General features: G+C 37.5%; 1 long non-coding RNA gene across 1 annotated transcript in view; it reads left to right on the plus strand.

The window, feature by feature from the left end:
- Positions 1 to 865: 865 nt before the first annotated feature.
- The window catches only part of LOC124904100 (uncharacterized), a 62,816-nt gene continuing 42,463 nt past the window's right edge, over positions 866 to 21,218 (plus strand). The window contains exon 1 of the long non-coding RNA XR_007065977.1: positions 866 to 943. This is a non-coding gene — a long non-coding RNA (uncharacterized LOC124904100). The remainder of the gene's footprint in view (positions 944 to 21,218) is intronic.

Consider the following 21,218-nt stretch of genomic DNA (forward strand, 5'->3'; position numbering starts at 1 on the left):
TAGTATAAAAGAAGTCATAGACAATAGGTAAATGAATGTATGTGTGTATGTTACAATAAAACTTTTTTTATTTTTTTTTCTTTATTTATTTTTTTTGCAAACACAGGTGCTTGGCCACGTTTGGACCACAACCTCTAGTTTCCCAACTGCAGAGCTTGATTCTTATACTCAGTTAGGGGTGTGACTCTCCAGGCATATACATGTAATAATTGGCAGAAGTTTTCTTTAAAATGAAGCTTTATTAAAAAAACAACAATAAGAAAAGGAAAAGCAAAATAACAGGTGGTTTTCAATTCACTGAAACCATCCTCTATGATAAGAATCACACATATTTATTAAAAATACATGACAAGGTACATAGAGCTGATTTCAGAATCTGTTTCCTTCTTTAAGTGACTGGAGCCAGCTCTTGAGCTGGGTGATAAAGAGTAGCTCTGGGACATTCAAGCTGTGTGACCCACATGCTTTGGAGAGCACAGTTTCTGGCATCAAGATAATTCTCATTGACCACAGATGCTTCTTAATATTTGCCGATTTATTGCTGAAACAAGTGCAGCAGATTAACATTATAGGACTGTGGTCTTTGGGAATACTCTCGTCTCTCTATTGGATCAGTGTTTATTTTCAGTGTTTATTTGTATTCTGAAGGTGAGTTGGATGGATATAGCAACTTTAGTTGGCAAATCTACTTTTTTCTTGAAAACAGAATTGAAAATAAAATCCTGTTATACAGAAACATTACATACCATGTCTAAGAGTATTAAACACTTCCCAAACCACACTCTCTCAGACACAAGTGGGAGCTTGGGAAGCTAATTTTAGTTACTGAATGTCCAGTATGTGTTATATCTCCTTTCCTAAGGACCCCTCAAGAAGAGAGAAGACCATCTAAGCCTTACTAATCAAAGGATGACCCATGGACCAGCAGCATCTACAGCATCAGGTAGCCTATTAGAAATGACAAATCTGAACAGGCTTCTCAAGGTTATTCATGTGCTCATTAAAACTTAAGAGGCACTGGTCTAAATAATGTATATTTCCAGTCATCTTACATCAGTTGTATATATGGCATGGTATAAATAATAACTGAATGAAGAAAAAGATGAATGAATGAATATTTAATGATTAAATGGACTAATGCTTCAATGGATATAGATGATTAAATGAGTGAATGAATAAATAATTTTTCCTGAAATATGTAATCAAGTTTATAAAGTGTCTTGATAGTTTTATGAAGATGAAATGAAGTGAGTTATGCGAAACATTAGTAAACTATAAAGACTTACACAAATGTGCAGTGCCACATTAATAGTACAGATCATCTCATGACACATTAGTAATAACACAAAGAAGCCAGCAATAAATTTGCAGAGAGATGCTTCAATACTTGTATTCATTTATTTCGTGGGTAGCTTAAAATTCTTAGCCTTTATTGGTAAGAAGCATGGGAAAGTGTTCTTGAAGGACATTGGTTGGCGACTACACAAGTTATTGTGTGTAAGAACACTTCCAACTATTGTTCCTTCTGTGTGAATTGAAGAATGTTTTCCTGTGAGCACACTCTTTCTCTCACACACACACCCCACACATACACACACTCCAACAAATCTACGCAACTGTCAGTCTCTCCTTCATCTTGGTGTGTAGAAACATGGTATTTCCACCTTGGTGTACAACAGAAAAATCTTGGCTTAACAGTGTAATGGATTGAAAAATTTCAGTTTGAACAGATGACATTTTCAGTCCTTTGGGATGAAAAACACACATTGTTCAGTTCTGAAATACCGTAATCTTCCAAAACAGATTGTTCCTTCTGATATGAGTGGCATAAAGGCTGATCCTAGGCAAAGTTTAGTTCAGAGATATAGATAAAACTGCATTAACTCTATATTAAAGATACACAACTAATTTTTATAGGTTTGGGGACCCATAGACTAAGGGACAGACAGAGTGGCAAATAATTAACTGACTTACCTAGCAGTGAAGAAGAACTAGGACATTCCAAAACTTACCTTGATTGCACACATCACATGTATAATAGGGAGCATACATTCAAGGTGTTTGTTTTAACTTCAGCACTTGTTTAGATTTTATACAGACTAATAAAGGACCAAAAACAGTTCATCTCTAATACATTAACAGTTGACTGAATAGGGAAACAAGATTCAGAATGAAGTGAAATAATTCATATGAACAAGTTTTCCAGATAATTTATATGCAGAAGAAAATTCAGTAGTTTAGAAGCAGTAACTCAAAACAAGGCTAAATATTGATAAGGGCCAAGAATGGAGCCAAAGGCTATATTTCAGTTTGAAACTAAACTCACATATCTAAAATATGAATATATTTATATATAACACACATTAAAGAACACATTTTAAATGATGGTTTTGTTTTTATATTTCTGGGAAAATATTTGATTTTTTAAGCACAAATTTATTAGGTTAAGTTTAACAAATTGTTTAGCCTTTTAAAATTACATTAAGTGCCATAAAAATTTTAAACTAGACCAAATTAATAAACCATTCAAGCTAGAAGACAGAAAAGTCATAAATATGATAAGCAATGTTAGACATCAAAATTATTCAAAGCTAAAAATAAGTGATATTTTGTCCCTATCAACAAAATTTAAAATTGATCCTTGATCAATGCTAAAGATATGAAAAAGCTGAAAAAGTTATTGAATGTCATTGACACTGTAGATTGATACAACCCTTTAAATTGCATTTCAAAAAATAACAACCTGTTTCTGGAAGTTCTCCTAAGATAAGAAAAAAATTATAGAAAGTAGCTTAATACAACATTATATGTAGTTAGAGTCAGAAGAAGCAAAATTCCTCACATTAGAATCACATAAATCTAATATAATATTGCAAAACTATTGAAATAATTATAATGTACCCCGCATGACAATATGAAAATGCTTAAACGTTAAAAAGATTTAAAAATAAAGTAGAATCAATGAAGATTAAATATTCAGAATAAGTACAACAAAAAATGTGCAAAACCCATGTGAGAAAATATTTTAAACACTATTGAAGAACGTAAGAGTAGACTTAAACAAATGCAAAAGCATTTGCTTGGGAAAATTCAACATTACAAGTTTTTGTAATTACATTGCAAACATTTGCTTGGGAAAATTCAACATATTACAGGTATGTCAGAACTTCCTAAATTAATTTATAAATCCTATAAATTTAGCAAGTTATGTATAGAGTTAGATAAGCTGAAAATAGTTTATTTAGATTAAAAAATGCAAAAATATCCAGGAAAATATACACAAAATTGGGAAAAAATGACTAGGTGAATTAGCTACAATCAGATGTAAAGTTGCCTTAATTAAAAATTGTGGTATCAGTACATGAACAGGCAAATAGACCAGTGGGAAAGAACAGAAAGTTCAGAAACAGACTGAATACATATGGAAATTTAATAAATGATAAAGGTAGCCTCTCAAATCTCTGTGGTGAAGAAAGTCTTTTTTTTTTTAATTGTGCTGGCGTAAGTGGATAACCATTTTGATTGAATTAATAAAACTGCATTTATGTTTCATACCGTATATAAGAATAAAACAAGGATATAAATGTAAAAAACAAAACAAAACTGTTTAATTTATATATGATAATATGGATGAGTTCCTTCTTGACCTTGGTATAAAAGAAGACTTTCTGTGAATCAAAATCAAAATGCAGTAAAAGAAAGATTGATAAATTTCCCTACATAAAAATGAAAAATTTGCATGCCAAAAACCACTGAAAGCAAAGTCAAAAAAGACAATTTGTAAACAGGGAGAAAATAATTGCAACATATATCTAAGACAAATGGCTAATATTCTTTGTATTAAAAATTCTGAAAAATTGAGGAACAAATATTTTAGGGGCAAATGACCTGATATAGGAAAAAGATATGAAATAACAATTTCAAAAATAATATTTAAAATGGGCATCCAACATTCAAGAGAATATTAAAATTTGCTGATAATTAGAGAAGTATAAGTTAAAACAGGGATATCATTTTTATCTATTGGACTATCTGACATTAAAATAGTGTCACATACAATATATGATCCAATAATCACGCTCCTTGGTATTTTCCCAAAGGAGATGAAAACATGTTCACACAAAATCCTATACACAATGTGTGTAGCAACTTGGAAGTAATCAAGATATCCTTCAGTAGGTGAATGGATAAACTGTGGTGCACCAAGACAAGGGAATAATATTCAGTGCTAAAAACTCTCATTAATGCATTTATGGAGGAAACATAAATGCATATTACTAAGTGGAAGAAGCCAATCTTCAAAGGCTATCCACTGTATGATCCCAACTACGTGACATTCTTGAAAGGACAAAACTATAAAGAGAGTAAAAATATCAGTGGTTGACAGGGGTTTTGGGGAGGGAAGGATGAATAGGCAGAGAACAGGGGATGTTTAGGGCAGTGAAACTTCTGTGTCATACCATAATGGTGGATACATACCCTTGTATGTTTGTCCAAACCCATATACAAAACTAAAAGTGAACCCTAATGTCAACTACGGGCTTTGGGTGATAATGATGTATTAATGTAGGTTCATCAGTTGTAACAAATGTATCACTAGGGTGGGGGATGATGATCAAGGGAGAGGCTATTCGTCTATAAGGCAGAGGTTATATGGGGCAGGGGTTCCCAACCCCTGGGCCACAGACAGGTCTAGTCTGTGACCTGTTAGGAACTGGGCTGCACAGCAGGAAGTGAGCAGTGGGCCAGCAAGCATTATCGCCTGAGCTCCACCTCCTATCGGTTCCTCGGCAGCAATAGATTCTCATAGAAATGCAAACTTTATTGTGAACTGCACATGCGGGGGATCTAAGTTACATGCTCCTTACAAGAATCTAATGCCTGACGATCTGAAGGTGGAACAGTTTTATCCCTAAACCGTCCACCCCCGTGGAAAAATTGCCTTCCAGGAAACTGGTCCCTGGTGCCAAAAAGGTTGGGGACCACTGATACAGGAAATTTCTGAACTGTCTGTCCAATTTTGCTGTGAACCCATAACTGCTCTGTGAGAGAGGCTATGAGGAAATTGGCATTGCCATGCTTTGCTGACAAATATGCAACTTTGCACAATCACTCTGAAAGCAAATTTAGCACTATCTAATAAAACTACATATGCACTTGTCTTTTGACTCAACAATTCCGATTCTGGGGTATATCTTCCTACCCTGAAGATACACCTTTAGGAACCGACCCTGAAAAATGCATATATCCAAGGTTATTCCTTGCAGCATTGTTTGATTGCAAAATATTGCAAAAACCTATATGTCCATACCCAGAAAAATGATTGAATAAATTACAGTATATCCACTTAATCAAGGGCAATGAAGCTATTTAAAAAAATGTGCAGAATCTCTGTGGACTAATGGGGGGAATGATTTCCAAATAGACTGATAAGGAAAAAATACATAAACTATTACCTTGCATATGCTACTGTTTTTGTAACGAAGAAAATCGAAAAAACTACACGTGAATCTACTCATTTACACAACAGAGAATATAGAAAAAATAAACCAGAAATTAAAAAGTTGGTACATAAAGAGGGGTCATTGAAAGTAATAGAAAAAAGTGATAAGTGAGTATGGGGTAGTAGAGAGGAGGAGGTAGTAGCACAACTTTGTGTGTATTCTTTTGTAGAGCTCTGGCTCTTAGAATTACAGTAATATGTCACATATCTCCCAATTATGTATTTATTAAAATCAACCACAATATAGAGCAAGAACCTAGAAATGCAATAAAACAGTACCAAATGAGTCTGACTATATTACAAATACAGTCCACACTGGGGAAATGGAGAAGACAATAACTGACATAAATAACTTTAGAAACAATGTTTTGACTGGATTCTGTAAGTCAAGAGATAAACAGATCTATAAACAAATGCTCTATATTTCTCACAGAAGTGTGGGTTAGCATTTCTATAACAACTTTAAGTGTACATCATAGTCAAATAACAAATATGCACACATAACACATCTGCACAAACATAAATATATGTGCATAGATACACATATGTACACACAAATACAGATGTGTTTGTGTGTGTGTGTGCATGTGTGGGTTGGCATACACACATACATTTCATAGCTCTGCTGAGAGGCCTGGGAGCAATGAAACTCCAGGAACAATGAGCACAACTAGCATCCAGATTTTGGTCCCTAAACACCATTCTTCTGTCAAAGGAACCAGGGCTCAATGCAGAAGTGGTTGATTCCAGGGATTGGGCCAGGAAAGTACAAGATGAGCTGGAACAACTTGCAATGCCATAATAAGGGAGTTTTTGGAAAATGATGAGACATTTGCAAAGGACATAGGAGCCAACTTGAAGGGAATTCTAATGGCCAAATATGGAACAACAATCTGAGCAACAAAACAACTAATAGTATTGGACCATAAGCCACAGGACAGAATAAATATCCATGAGCCCATACTAATCTGAATAACTGAACAAGTAAAGAAATTGCAGAAAGGAGTCTGTTGTTTGTCACGGAAAAATTCTATTGATACATATAAAAAGAGGAAAAGCAAAAAATTACCACTGGACAAACACCATAGTTATTGTTGCAGACAAGACCAATCTACGAATCCTAAAATTGTTGAGCACATTTTTGAGAACTGAATATTTACATGGCCTCAAAGTATCTTCCTCAGATTATTTATTATCTTGCCTAAGGTACAACGGGAAAATAGTAACTTTATGGTGGATGAACCCAGCAGATAACACCTTAACGAAGAGATCAGGTTAACATCACCCAGTAAGACATAGTATCACAAATCCCATGATATGATGCACTGAGAAGGACACAACTTTACTTCTGCCAAAAGTGTATAGCCTTATTCCAAGCATGAAAAGCTTCAGACAACTCATAATTAGAGACATTCTACAAAATAAATGCCCAGTAGTCGTCAAGTGTGTCAGGATGACAAAAGACAAGAAAAGATGAAGCACTGTTACAGCTGGAAGTAATGAAGGAGCCGTATGATGTGGGATTCTGAGTTAGAGTATTGTACTGATAGTATTACACTTGGTTTTGATCATTTTAATATGATTATGTAAGAAGCTCAAATTAGGGGATGCTGAGTGAAGGGTTATGGGAAGATTTGGTATTAATTTTACAACTTTTCTAAAAGTCTGAAATTAGATCATAGTCAAAAGTTAAAAATGAATCCATACTATGATTTATCATATCTACAGCTAACTAAATAATTGGTGTTTAACATTTGGATAAAAATTTTAAAAGAACATAGAAGAGTCAAAACAGGTATTAGAATGACGGATATTCAAAAAATACACATAAAAACATACACATGTACATACATGTGTGTGTGTGTGTGTGTGTATCTGTGGTTCTGGAAATGGCTAGGTCATGTTAATCACTGCTACTAATATTTTTTTTGGTAAAGGATAGGAACATCTGAAGGTTAAAACCCAGTGAGGATTTTGGAAATGAGAGTTTGTAATTCACAGAATCACAGTATCAGAGACTTCAAGTTTGTCAGGAACCTTAGAACAGCTTTGCCTGATATAATAAGATTTTACATGAATAATTAAACACTAACCATTTGCCCTGGATCTCCTTTAATCTCCCATCTGCTGCCCTCATTTTAAGAACCATCTGACTCACTCTCTACCTTCATTTTCTGAAATGTGTTTTATGCACTCTTTATCTAAACCATCTCTCTAAGATGCTTCTCATTCTTCTTTCAGCTTCTTCCAACCTACTGTTGTCATCAGAGAGCAGCTCACTTTCAACTTAGTACTAGGTTAACACCTAAAATCTATTTTTGGCCTAGAACTAAAAATAGATTTTAGGTGTCAACTTAGTACTATGTGCATTTTTATGGAGAATCCTCTGTTAGCCTCAGGTGATCGCTAGTGGTGGAATGGCAGTTGCTGTAATATTTGGTTGATGTAAATTTCTGAGGGGAGAGCTAATTATTGCATATTAGCCCCAAGAGCACATACCTCCATAATAAAAGACATATATTTGCTTTTTATTGGAAATCTAATTTTTCGGCAGAGAGAGGAGCAATGGAATGATATTTTCTTTAGAAAAAGTGAAGCCTGAGGCATTAAAGTTCATAGTTTATAAAATCAGAATTTTTTTTTTTTTGGGGCAGAGTTTTGCTCTTATCTCCTAGGCTGGAGTGCAGTGGTACGATCTCAGCTCACTGCAACCTCCGCCTCCTGGGTTCAAGTGATTCTCCTGCTTCAGCCTCCTGAGTAGCTGGGATTAATGGCATGTACCACCACGCCTGGCTAATTTTGTATTTTTAGTAGAGACCCAGTTTCACCATGTTGGCCTGGGTGGTCTCGAACTCCTGACCTCAAGTGATCTGCCTGCCTCGGACTCCCAAAGTGCTGGGATTATAGGCATGAGCCACTGTGTCCAGCCCTAAAATCAGAAAAATTTCTAAGAAAGCAAAACAAAACATCAATTTCTATTTGCTTCCTCAGAAGTAGCCAGTGCTTTTATTTTATCCTGGTAAAAAGAGTTAAGCATATTTAAGTGAAAGAGGAGAGTGGGTTCTTATAGCTCCTTCACCCACACCACACATCCCACCCACTCTCCTCCCCAAATGCTTAGGTAATGCTGCGTGTGTAAGTTTGATAAGTTGTATCTATTTCTGTAGATAGTTCTGGGCCATTTTATATTAGATGTTGCTGACACTTGGCTACCTAGCTTGTTTGAGAATTATTTCACTGTCTGGGATAAACAGAAAGAAGGCCTGATCCTCTGTTGCCTATGATTTGTGTCATTAAATATCAGTGCTTCTGTTCGTTGCCAAACCATATTCCCAAGATGGCATGGCATTCCTTTCTTTGGTCAACATTCAAACCTTACCAGCTTCTTTGACATTCCTGTGCTACAGTAAAAGTATTCTTGCCTCAGGCCTTTTTCACTTGCCATTTCTTCTGCCAGAAATGATCAGCTTGCTCTTCCTATAACCAGTCCATTTCTCATGTTTCAAGTTTAGTACAAATATTATTTATTCAGACAGGCTCTCTTTACATGACACTCTAAAGTAGCCCCTCCCTCCACTGCATCATTAGAAGTGGTTTTCTATTACAAAACGTATGTTTTTTTCAAGGTGCTTATCACATTCCAGAATTACCTATTTACTTTTTAGTTTTTGGGGTTAGTCTCCCCATGAAAAAGTAAGCTTCATAGGATGGGGATCATGTCTGTTTTCTCTGTGCAAACAGCAACACTGAAGTTGAAACTATTACCATTTTACAGTTGAGATTTACAATTCTACAGTTGAGAAAAATGTTTTAGAGGCTAGAGGCTGTGCCCAGATTATACAGCTAGTGACTGGTGGAGCCAGAACTCAAACACAAGCAGAGAGAATGGAGCCCTTGGCCACTTTATTAAGCTTTAAGGTTTAAATAAAATTAAGGACATAAATACTGACAGAACGTGATACACAGCACGTAATAAATGACTGTGGTTATTAGTTTGATCTCGTCTTCAAAATCACCCAAGGAAACAAAAGTATACTTCATTGCCATTTAACAAATGAAAGAACAGTTTTCATTCAAAGAGGTTAAGAGATAAGCCCAAGAAAGTGGTGCCGTTTTGGTGACCAACTCATCCTGATTTGCTTAGAATTTTCCAGGTTTTAGCACTGAAAATTTTTTTCCAGGAAATTTTAATCTCTGGGGTCTCAGTCCATTTTGACTACTGTATTAAAATACCTTTGACTGAGAAATTTTAATACCAGAAAGTATTGCTCACAATTCTGGAAGCTGGGAAGTCCAGGGTCTAGGCACCAGCAGATCTGGTGTCTGGTAAGACCCCGGGTCTCCCAGATGGCTCTTTCTTTTCTGAGTCCTCACTTAGCAGAAAGAAAAAACAAGCTCCCTCAGCCTTTCTAAAATAAGGGCACTCATCCCATTCATGAGGATGGGGCCCTTATGACCTAATCACCTTCTGTATTAGTCCATTTTCATGCTGCTGACACATACCCGAGACTGGGCAATTTACTAAAGAAAGAGCTTTAGTGGGCTTACAGTTCCACATGGCTGAGGAGGCCTCACAATCATGGTGGAAGGTGAAATGCACATCTCACATGGGGGCAGACAAGAGAAGAGAGATGGTGCAGGGAAACTCCCCTTTATAAAACCATCAGATCTTGTGAGACTTATTCACTATCATGAGAACAGCACAGGAAAGACCTACCCCCATGCAATTACCTCCCACTGGGTCCCTCCCACAACACATGGGAATTCAAGATAAGATTTGGGTGGGGACACAGCCAAGCCACATCACCTTTGAAAGGTACCACCTCTTAAAACCAACACCTTAATACTTTGGGGGTTAAGTTTCAACATATGAATGTTGGAGGGACATAAACATTCAGCCCCATAGCACCTGATAAACCAGAACAGCCTCATAGAGTCCATATTGAAATCAGGTCTATTTAATTCCCAATACCCTTTCTCCTTATCTCCCAATATTATATTGGATAGGCTTATGCCCCAGGACCTTCTTACATTGAATTTAATTGAATTTATTGAATTTTGTTATCTTTTCCCATTAGACTGTATATAGAAGCTCCTTGGAAATATCAGAAAATTAAAGTGTTTATTTTAACACAAATGCATGGAAACAGTTTAATATGAAATCAGTCCTTAGAACCCTGAAAATTATAACTTTGTAAGTATGGTATTATGTACTAAAGAACAGTGAGTCCAACCCTATAGCTATGAGAACTGCCACATCTAAGGGAACTGAGCTATTGCCTTTACATTTCCAACATTTAATTGAAGCCTTTTTAGAAAGAACAAGATGTCCTGTGAGCTTTGCCTGAGCCTGCTCTAGGATTCCACATAAATGAGTACAGCAACTCTACATGATAAAAGACATCCTAATATACCTCGTCACAGTTGAATCTCAATGTCACTGTCAAAGGGACGTTAGGGATAGAAAGTTTTTCTTGGGCAAAGGATTTAGACCTTTTATTGCTTTCCTAAAGCTGAAGAGCAGAGGGGGAAATCAGGGAATTATTTAAAACAACTTGTGTTTGCATATTAGCTCCCCATGTTTCTTAAGATTTTTAAAAAAATTTTAATTAATTTTTAATGACAGATGCAACACTATGCCTTTCCTGGAAGAATAAATTTAAAAAAATGGAAACAATTGTATTTGGAATTCTGCACCATTTCCTAGCTTTGATGATAAGGAATAATCTGCTAAGGACACTGAGTACCTACAGCAGTTCTCTACACTTTTTATAAGCACAGTATAACTGCAAAACGTCCAGTTTGCTTACTTAGAAACGTTTAAATGTTCACTTTCTTAAGAATAATCACAGTGAGTTCAGAACTAATAGCTTATTGACCATCACAACAAGTTTGCTCAGGGTGGATTTTGTTACCTCCTTTTACAGGAGAAGAAATTAAAGTTCAGGTTAAATGACTTGCCTTCACAATCCCAGCCCCTCAACCAAAAAAATAAAAGAAATTAAATGAATTGCCTCACATTCCTAGCTCCCTATCCAAAAAATAAAAGGAGGGAAGTGGAGGGGAGGGGAGAGGAGGGGAGAGGTAAGGGAAAGAAGTGGGGAGTGGGAAGTGGGGGAGGGGAGGGGATCCATTGAGAAGGCAAAATTTTCAGCTCAGCCTTGAGAATTTTTGGACTTTATTCTTTCCAAAGTATTGTTCTGTGATTTTTTTTGAAAAAAATTATAAATAAATGATAAACCTTAGTAAATAAAGATTTCTGAGGGCCATTGAACAGAAGTGCCCTATTTTCTATATGGTAGCTATGCTTATACAAAATCTGTCTTTATGGCAATGTTGAAAGTACCACTGTCATTCTAATAGCAAAGTACCACAACTTACCCTACTTACAAGTGAAGCAGTTAAGAAATGTGCTTCCTTGCTAAGTCAAATCTTTTATGAAAGGTAATAGAAGTAACACCAAATAGCATGACAGCCTTGGTAACTGGCAGCATGGAGGATGGGAGAATTTTAATTTACACTCTAGAATTTTCAAATCTGAATCTTTTGGAAGAGAACAAGAGTGAAATTATTGCCCCCCCCCCACAAATTTGCATCTTTCATGGCTGCATATATACATTTCTAAATTGTTTTTTAAAGGGCTTTACCAATTTACACTGTTCCTTAAATGTATAAGCTAATTTTACTAAATTTACACCAGCCTGAGGTTTATAACGCCATTTAGGGGATAAGTGATATTCCACCTATTCATACCTGATGCAGTTTCCAGAAAAGTAATTTTTATTTGAGCAGGTCTTGTACATCTTTTTGATACTTATAAAGTATGCTCTGAATGCCTGCCTAGTCATTCTCTTTTGGAAGGAAGTGTTCAAAATAGGGTTGGACATAGCTGGGATTTAAATGTTTCTTAATGTTAGTTTCTGATAGCTTTGTAGAATTTTTTTTTCAAATATATATACATATATACACATAATAATATTTGTTTTTAGTATTGATTTTATACTACTATTATGCTGTTTGGAGAATGAATTATATATGGTAGGGAAGATACTTTTTTTTTTTTTTCAGAGGGAGTCTTGCTTTGTCGACCAGGCTGGAGTGCAGTGGCTGAATCTCGGCTCACTGCAACCTCTGCCTCCCACGTTCAAGCAATTCTCCTGCCTCAGCCTCCTGAGGAGCTGAGATTACAGGCGTCTGCCACCATGCCCAGCTAATTTTTGTATTTTTAGTAGAGACGGGGTTTCACCATGTTGGCCAGGCTGGTCTCAAACTCCTGACCTCAGGTATCCACCCGCCTAGGCCTCCCAAAGTGCTGGGATTACAGCATGAGCCATAGTTCCTGGCTGGAAGATAAAATTTTGACATCTTTCATAAATTGCAAACTGAGTCAGAACAGCCATGGTTGTGGTTATTTTTTTTTTAATAATTTATGGAAGTTTTTTTAATTTTATTTTTATTTTTTATTTTTTGTTTTAGGTTTAAGCTAGTGTTTCTGTGTAAAATATTCTAGAATGTGAAGATTTACAAAGCAAACTTGTTTCAAGTTCCTAACAGCCAAACTACCATAACCTGGATTCCTAGGTTTTTGGGGGTAGGAAACATGACATTCCTATGATAATATGTTACTTTTATACAATCCTTTATACAAGGATTGAGGGTAGGGTATTTCTATAATTCTTTCTGATTTAAAGAAAAGTAGAAACATGGCAAAATTTGAAAGTTTTTAGAATTCATTAAAATTTCTTAACCTCTGTTTTTTAATGGCCACCCAGAACAGTGACAACATCAAATGTTAGTGAGGGTTTGGTGTAACAGGAACTCTCATTTGTTGCTGGTGAGAAGGCAAAATGGTACAGCCACTTTCGAAGACAGTTTGGCAGTTTCCTACAACACTAAACATATGCTTACTGTATAATCCAATAATCATGCTTCTTGGTATTTACCCAAAGGAGCTGAAAACCTGTGTCTACATATCAACCTGGTGCTTATAACAGCTTTATTCATAATTGCCAACATTTAGAAGCAACCAAGATATCCTTTAGTAGCTGAATGAATAAATAAACTGTAGTACATACAGGCAATGGAATATTATTCAGTGCTGAAATAAATGAGCTGTCAAGCCATGAAAAGACATGGAGAAAGCTAAAATGTATACTACTAAGTGAAAGAAACCAATCTGAAAAAGCAACATATTGTGTGATCCTGACTATACGATATTCTGCAAAAGACAAAACTGTAGAGTCCATAACAAGATCAGTGGTTTCCAGGGGAAGTGGAAGGAGGGATGAATAGGTGAAGCACCAAGGATTTTTTGAGGCAGTGAAACTCTTCTGTATTATACTATAAATTGTTGATACACATCATTGTATATTTGTCAAAACCCACAGAATGCACAGCACCAAGGGTAACCCTAACGTAAACTATGGACTTTGAGTGATAATCCTGCATTGGTGTAGATTGATCAGTTGTAACAAATGTACCATTGTGATGCAGGATGTTGATAGTGATGGAAGTTTTGTGTGTGTGAAGGCAGGGATATATGGGAAATCTCTGTACCTTCTGCTCATTTTTTTCTGTGAACTTAAAACAACTCTAGAAAATAAAGTCTATTTAAAAGGGAAAAAAAGTCTTCACAACATGCTCATAATAAATAGCAATTGCAAGAGAATGCTACTAACTTCTCTCTGTCAACCTTTTTTTTTTTTTTTTTTTTTGGAGACGGAGTCTCACTATGTTGCTCAGGCTGGAGTCCAGTGGCGCGATCTTGGCTCACTGCAACCTCCACCTCCTGGGTTCAAGCAGTTCTTCTGCCACAGCCTCCCGAGTAGCTGGGACTACAGGCACACGCTGCCACGCCCGGCTAATTCTGTGTATTTTAGTAGAGATGGGGTTTCACCATTGTTGCCCAGGCTGGTCTCGAACTCCTGAGCTCAGGCAATCCGCCCACTTCGGCCTCCCAAAGTGCTAGGATTACGGGCATGAGCCATCGCGCCTGGCCTCTGTCAACCTGTCTTGAGAAGTAATGACCAGATTCTCCAAGTCCAAGTGGTTAAATAGATTTTTCCTTGCACATTGTCCTTAAGTCATTGAAAAAACACCTTTTTATTACCTCAGTTTCTATCACACTATGATGAAGGAATAAAGTACTAGCTTTGAGAATTCAAGAACTTTATAAATTATTAATTATTCAAAATTATTAAGCAACAGAGTTACAATAATAGCATTCCTTTTCATAGAAGCTGGCAATGAGTAGATGCGTTATGGAGTGTTTATTCTGGTTATTGCCTATGCATTTCTCTAACACAAACGCATCAACATCTGCCTTCTCTTCACTTGCATTCTAATACAGAGATGGCAAATGAAACAGAGTTGATAGTTACAGGACATTGAAAATTTAAATGTATTTTAAAATATTGTGGAAAAAGGAATTTTAATTCTCACCAATGGGTTTTATTTTAAAACCTGTACCTTTTGTAGAACTCAGATTTTTGCCTTTGCTACTTGCTTATATCTAGCTCTAGTCATCTCCAAAATTAGCATCTCTGGGTAAATTCAAATAGTTAAAAAAAAAAAAAAACTCCTGTGGCCAAAATTTACATGGTGAGATAAAATGAAGTGAAGAATTAGAGCAGCCATTTGTATACTATGTTTAGAAAAAATAAATATTCTCCAGGAGAAAAAAATATGGTGACTTAAGTTGCCTCATTTTAAGGATGGCATTCGTTACAAGATCTGGAGATCTTATCTTTATTGAAATGGAGTTTTCTATCCTACATGTGGAAAGTATAGTGATGGTTATTCCTGTAATGGTGACTTAGAGGCATTCTAACAATTGAGGGATTGTATGAATTATGTGAATGTAAAATAAACTATGATTTTAAGACTGAAGTATTATTGCATTTTTTCAAATTATGAAGAGTTTTAATATAAGAGATTAGAGGCTTAAACAACTAGTGAAGGGGTAGACAAATGAAGCCTAAAGAAACTATTATCCAAAGTCTTAGCTTCAGCATCAAAGTAAGTGATTCTCAATAGCTTAACATAAAATTTCTGCAAATCTCAAGAACTCCTGGGTATCTCCTAATGTACTTTTATCAGTCTGAGGCTCCAATGTGGATGATTATCAAAAGTTCACTTGGAAACCGCTTCAAACATTCTGTCTAGTCCCGTATCCGCCTGCCTCTTATTCTTTCCAGACTTCCCAACTGGACTTCAACCTCTGCCTTTCATAAACTCTAGCTCTATTTCAGGAACCATATGCATAAGCAAATTCTGGAAAATGTAGCTCCCAGTTCCTCCTCTGCATTGAAGAGGAAACGTTAGGAAAAGCTGGTGGTAATGTCCAGTGGAAACAGATAAACAGATGTACCATGATCTTACCTCTTCAATAGCTATTTCTTTGACATTGAGTGTTTTGATCCAATAATATATCTGCCTACATATTTTGCAAATAGTTGTAAGCCTGGTATACGTGCCTGAATTATTTTACAGATGCCTATAAAAATGTAAAGTTTACATTAAAAGAGAGAGAGAAAGAAAGAAAGAAAAGAAAGAAGGAAAGAAGAAGGAAGGAAGGGAAAAGAAAGGAAGAAACAAAAAGAAAAGAAAAGGAAAGAAGGAAGAAAGAAAGAAAAGGAAGGAAGGGAGGGATGGAGGAAAGGAAGGAGGGAGGGAGGAAGGAAGGAAAGGAAGGGAAGGAAGGAAGGGAGGGAGGGACAGAGGGATGGAGGGAGGGAAGAAGAAAAGAAGGGTTAACTGAGCTTCTTGGGTTGGCAGATTATTGACTTTCCTTACATTTTGGGAATTTGGGGCCATTATTTCTTCAAATACTTCCCTGCTTTCACCCTCTTCTTTTGTTATGGGACTCCTATTACACATATGTATGCCTAATAATGTTCCACAGATCTCTGAGATTCTGTTTATTTTTCCTGGTTTTTCTTCTGTTTTATTTTCAGATAGTTTATACTGATCTGTCTTCAGAATGATTGGTTCTTTTTTTCCTGACCACATGAATCATTAATGGAGCTTCTTTTGAATTTTTCCTTTTACTTTTCACATCAAAATTTCCATTTGCTTTTTGTAATTGTTATCTCTTTCATAAGAGCTTCTATTCATTGAGTCATTATCATTAGACTTGCCTTTAATTCTTTAAACATGCTTTTTAGAGTTACTTTATTTATTTTTATTTTGTTTTATTTTATTTTAAGTTCCAGGATACATGTGCAGGATGTGCAGGTTTGTGACACAGGTAAATGTGTGCCATGATGGTTTGCTGCACCTGTCAACCCATCATCACCTAGGTATTAAGCCCACCTAGGTATTAGCTATTTTTCCTGGCACCCTCCCTACCCCTCTCCCCACCCACTGACAGGCCCCGGTGTGCATTGCTCCCCTCCTTGTGTCCATGCGTTCTCATTATTCAGCTCCCACTTTTAAGTGAGAACATGTGGTGTTTGCTTTTCTGTTCCTGCAATAGTTTGCTGAGGATAATGGCTTCCAGCTCCATCGATGTCCCTGCAAAGGACATGACTTCATTCCTTTTATGGCTGCATAGTATTCCATGGTGTATATGTACCACATTTTCTTTATCCAGTCTTCATCGATGGATATTTGGGTTGATTCCATGTCTTTGCTATTGTAAATGGTGCTGCAATCAAATACACGTGCATGTTCATTTATAGTAGAATGATTTATATTCCTTTGGGTGAGTAGCCAGTAATGGAATTGCTGGGTCAAATAGTGTTTCTGGTTTTAGGTCTTTCAGAAATCACCACACTGTCTTCCACAATGGTTGAACTGATTTATATTCCCTCCAAAAGTGTAAAGGTGTTCCTGTTTCCACAGCCTCACCAGCATCTGTTGTTTCTTGATGTTTTAATAATTGCCATTCTGACTGGTGTGAGATGGTATCTCACTGTGCTTTTGATTTGCATTTCTCTAGTGATCAGTGATACTGAGCTTTTTTCATGTTTTTTGGCCACATAAATGTCTTCTTTTCTATACACCAACAGTAGACAAGCAGAAAGCCAAATCATGAATGAATTCCCACTCACAATTGCTACAAAGAGAATAAAATACCTAGGAATAGAGCTAACAAGAGAAATAAAAGACCTCTTCAAGGAGAACTACAAACCACTGCTCAAGGAAATCAGAGAGGACACAAATAAATGGAAATACATTCCATGCTCATGGATAGGAAAAATCAATATCATGAAAATAGCCATACTATAAAGTTATTTTAACATATGTTTAACATAGGTCCTTTGACGTCTTTGCTAAATCCAAAATCAGTGGGTTGGTGGTGGTGGGGTGTTCAGTCACACATTTTCCATTGATTGCTTTGTTTTTTCCTGAGTATGAGTCACACTTTCTTCTTCACATAATTTTAATTGAGGATTATATTTTTAGATAATATAGCAGTATAATATTGCTTTTTGATTCTTTTAATATTTGCTATTGATTTTTACTTTTTTCCTTCATTAGTGTTTTTTTGGCTTTTATTTGTTTCTCATTTTTAAATCGGAGAGGTCTGTCTCTGCCAAAATGTATGGCTGCTGTTTCTACTGGAATTTTTTTCTGATGTTATTATTTTGTCTGGTTTTTATGTTTAAGCCTTTTTTCCTGGGGTGGCCCGGTGTCTGCACAGTTTACTGTTCTGCTGAAGATTAGTTAGAGGTTACATTCAAACAGCTAAAGCCAGGAAAGCTTTCCACTGCCTGCTGATGACTCTGTATGGGCTGGAGAGCACGTTCAAACATCAGGCTGTTTTAAGAAGTCTGCCCATTTTACTTTCCATCGAGCTCACTTGTGTGTCTCCTGAGCATGTGCACTGGCTTCATAAGCCAGGGATATGTGAGTTGCTTGAGTTCACTCTAGCCTCTACTGCACACGCACACAACTTCTGGTTAAAGCTGGTTATGCAGAACATTTACCAATCCCATTAAGTCTGCCTTACTTACTGGAGCTCCTTGTTTAATGTCTAGCTATTCAAATTTAAGCTAGCAGAGCTACTGGCCCTCCCTTTTCACTTGCCACCAAGATAACCACTCACATTAGTCAGGGTTCTCAGAGAAACAGAACCAATAGGAGATAGCTAGATGGATAGACACACAGACAGAGAGAATTCATTGTGGGGATTGGTTCACACAATTATGCAGGCCAAGAAGTCCCATGATATGCCATTTGCAGGCCAAAGAAAGAGGAAATCTGGTGGAGTTGTAATTCAGTCCAAGTCCAAAGACTTTAAAAATGGGGACTGGGGGAAGCACTGGTGTAAGCCAGAGTCCAAAGGCCCAAGGACCGGGTGGTTCAATGTCCAAGGAAAGAAGAAATGGATTTCTCAGCTCAAGAGGAGAGAGAGAAAGAGGATTTGTCCTTATTCTGCATTTTTGTTCTATTTGGGCCCTCAGTAGATTAGATGCTGCCCATCAGTATTGGTGACAACAGATCTTCTGTACTCAATTTACTGACTCAAATGCTGATCTCTTCTAGAAACACGCACACAGAGATACTTAGATGTAACATTTTTCCAGCCATCTGAGCATTCTTTAGCCCCATCAAATTAACACATAAAATTAACCATTATAGTATGTACACATATATGTGTGTATGTATGTGTGTACAATTATGCATCATTTAACAACAGGGACACACTCTGAGAAACGTGTTGTTTAGGTGATTCCCTTGTTGTGCAAACATCATAGAGCGTACTCACACAGACCTAGATGGTATAGCCTATTACACATCTAGGCTGTACGGTATAGTCTATGGCTCCTAGGCTACAAACCTATGCAGTACGTTACTGTACTGAATACTGCAGACAATTGTAACACAATGGTAAGTGTTTATATATGTAAACATATCAAAACATTAAAAAGGTAAAGTAAAAATATGGTATAAAAGATGGTACACCTGTATAGACCACTTAACATAAATGGAGGTTACAAAACTGGAAGTTGTTTTGTGTGAGTCAGTGAGTAGGTGGTGAGTGAATGCGAAGGCCTACAATATTGCTATACAGTACTGTAGACATTACAAACATTGTACACTTAGGCAACACTAAATTAAGAGTATTTTTCTTCCTCAATAATAAATTAGCCACTTGTAATAGTCTGTTTTCATGCTGCTGATAAAGACATACCGAGACTGGGCAATTTACAAGAGAAAGAGGTTTAATTAGACTTCCAATTCCACATGGCTGCAGAGGCCTCACAATCATGGTGGAAGGCAAGGAGGAGCAAGTCACATCTTACATGGATGGTGGCAGGCAAAATAGGAGCTTGTGAAGAGAAACTCCCATTTTTAAAACCATCAGATTTCATGAGACCCATTCACCATCACGAGAACAGCATGGGAAAGACCTGCCCCCATGATTCAATCACCTTTCACTGGATCCCTCCCACACCACGTGGGAATTATGGAAGCTACAAGATGAGATTTGGGTGGGGACACAGAGCCAAGCCATATCACTACTGCAACTTATTTTTACTTTATCAATGTTTTAATTTTTAAAGCTTTTTCACTCTTTTGTAATAACGCTTAGCTTAAAACACAAACACATGGTCAGCTGTACAAAAATATTTTCTTTCCATATATTGTTATTCTACAAGATTTTGTGGGGGGAGGAGCCAAGATGGCCGAATAGGAACAGCTCCGGTCTACAGCTCCCAGCGTGAGCGACGCAGAAGACGGTGATTTCTGCATTTCCATCTGAGGTACCGGGTTCATCTCACTAGGGAGTGCCAGACAGTGGGCGCAGGCCAGTGTGTGTGCGCACCGTGCGCGAGCCGAAGCAGGGCGAGGCATTGCCTCACCTGGGAAGCGCAAGGGGTCAGGGAGTTCCCTTTCCGAGTCAAAGAAAGGGGTGACGGACGCACCTGGAAAATCGGGTCACTCCCACCCGAATATTGCGCTTTTCAGACCGGCTTAAGAAACGGCGCACCACGAGACTATATCTCACACCTGGCTCGGAGGGTCCTACGCCCACGGAATCTCGCTGATTGCTAGCACAGCAGTCTGAGATCAAACTGCAAGGCGGCAACGAGGCTGGGGGAGGGGCGCCCGCCATTGCCCAGGCTTGCTTAGGTAAACAAAGCAGCAGGGAAGCTCGAACTGGGTGGAGCCCACCACAGCTCAAGGAGGCCTGCCTGCCTCTGTAGGCTCCACCTCTGGGGGCAGGGCACAGACAAACAAAAAGACAGCAGTAACCTCTGCAGACTTAAGTGTCCCTGTCTGACAGCTTTGAAGAGAGCAGTGGTTCTCCCAGCACGCAGCTGGAGATCTGAGAACGGGCAGACTGCCTCCTCAAGTGGGTCCCTGACCCCTGACCCCCGAGCAGCCTAACTGGGAGGCACCCCCCAGCAGGGGCACACTGACACCTCACACGGCAGGGTATTCCAACAGACCTGCAGCTGAGGGTCCTGTCTGTTAGAAGGAAAACTAACAACCAGAAAGGACATCTACACCGAAAACCCATCTGTACATCACCATCATCAAAGACCAAAAGTAGATAAAACCACAAAGATGGGGAAAAAACAGAACAGAAAAACTGGAAACTCTAAAACGCAGAGCGCCTCTCCTCCTCCAAAGGAACGCAGTTCCTCACCAGCAACAGAACAAAGCTGGATGGAGAATGATTTTGATGAGCTGAGAGAAGAAGGCTTCAGACGATCAAATTACTCTGAGCTACGGGAGGACATTCAAACCAAAGGCAAAG

The sequence above is a fragment of the Homo sapiens genome, chromosome 17 (genome assembly GCF_000001405.40).
Source record: "Homo sapiens chromosome 17, GRCh38.p14 Primary Assembly".
In the NCBI taxonomy this organism is placed as follows: domain Eukaryota; kingdom Metazoa; phylum Chordata; class Mammalia; order Primates; family Hominidae; genus Homo; species Homo sapiens.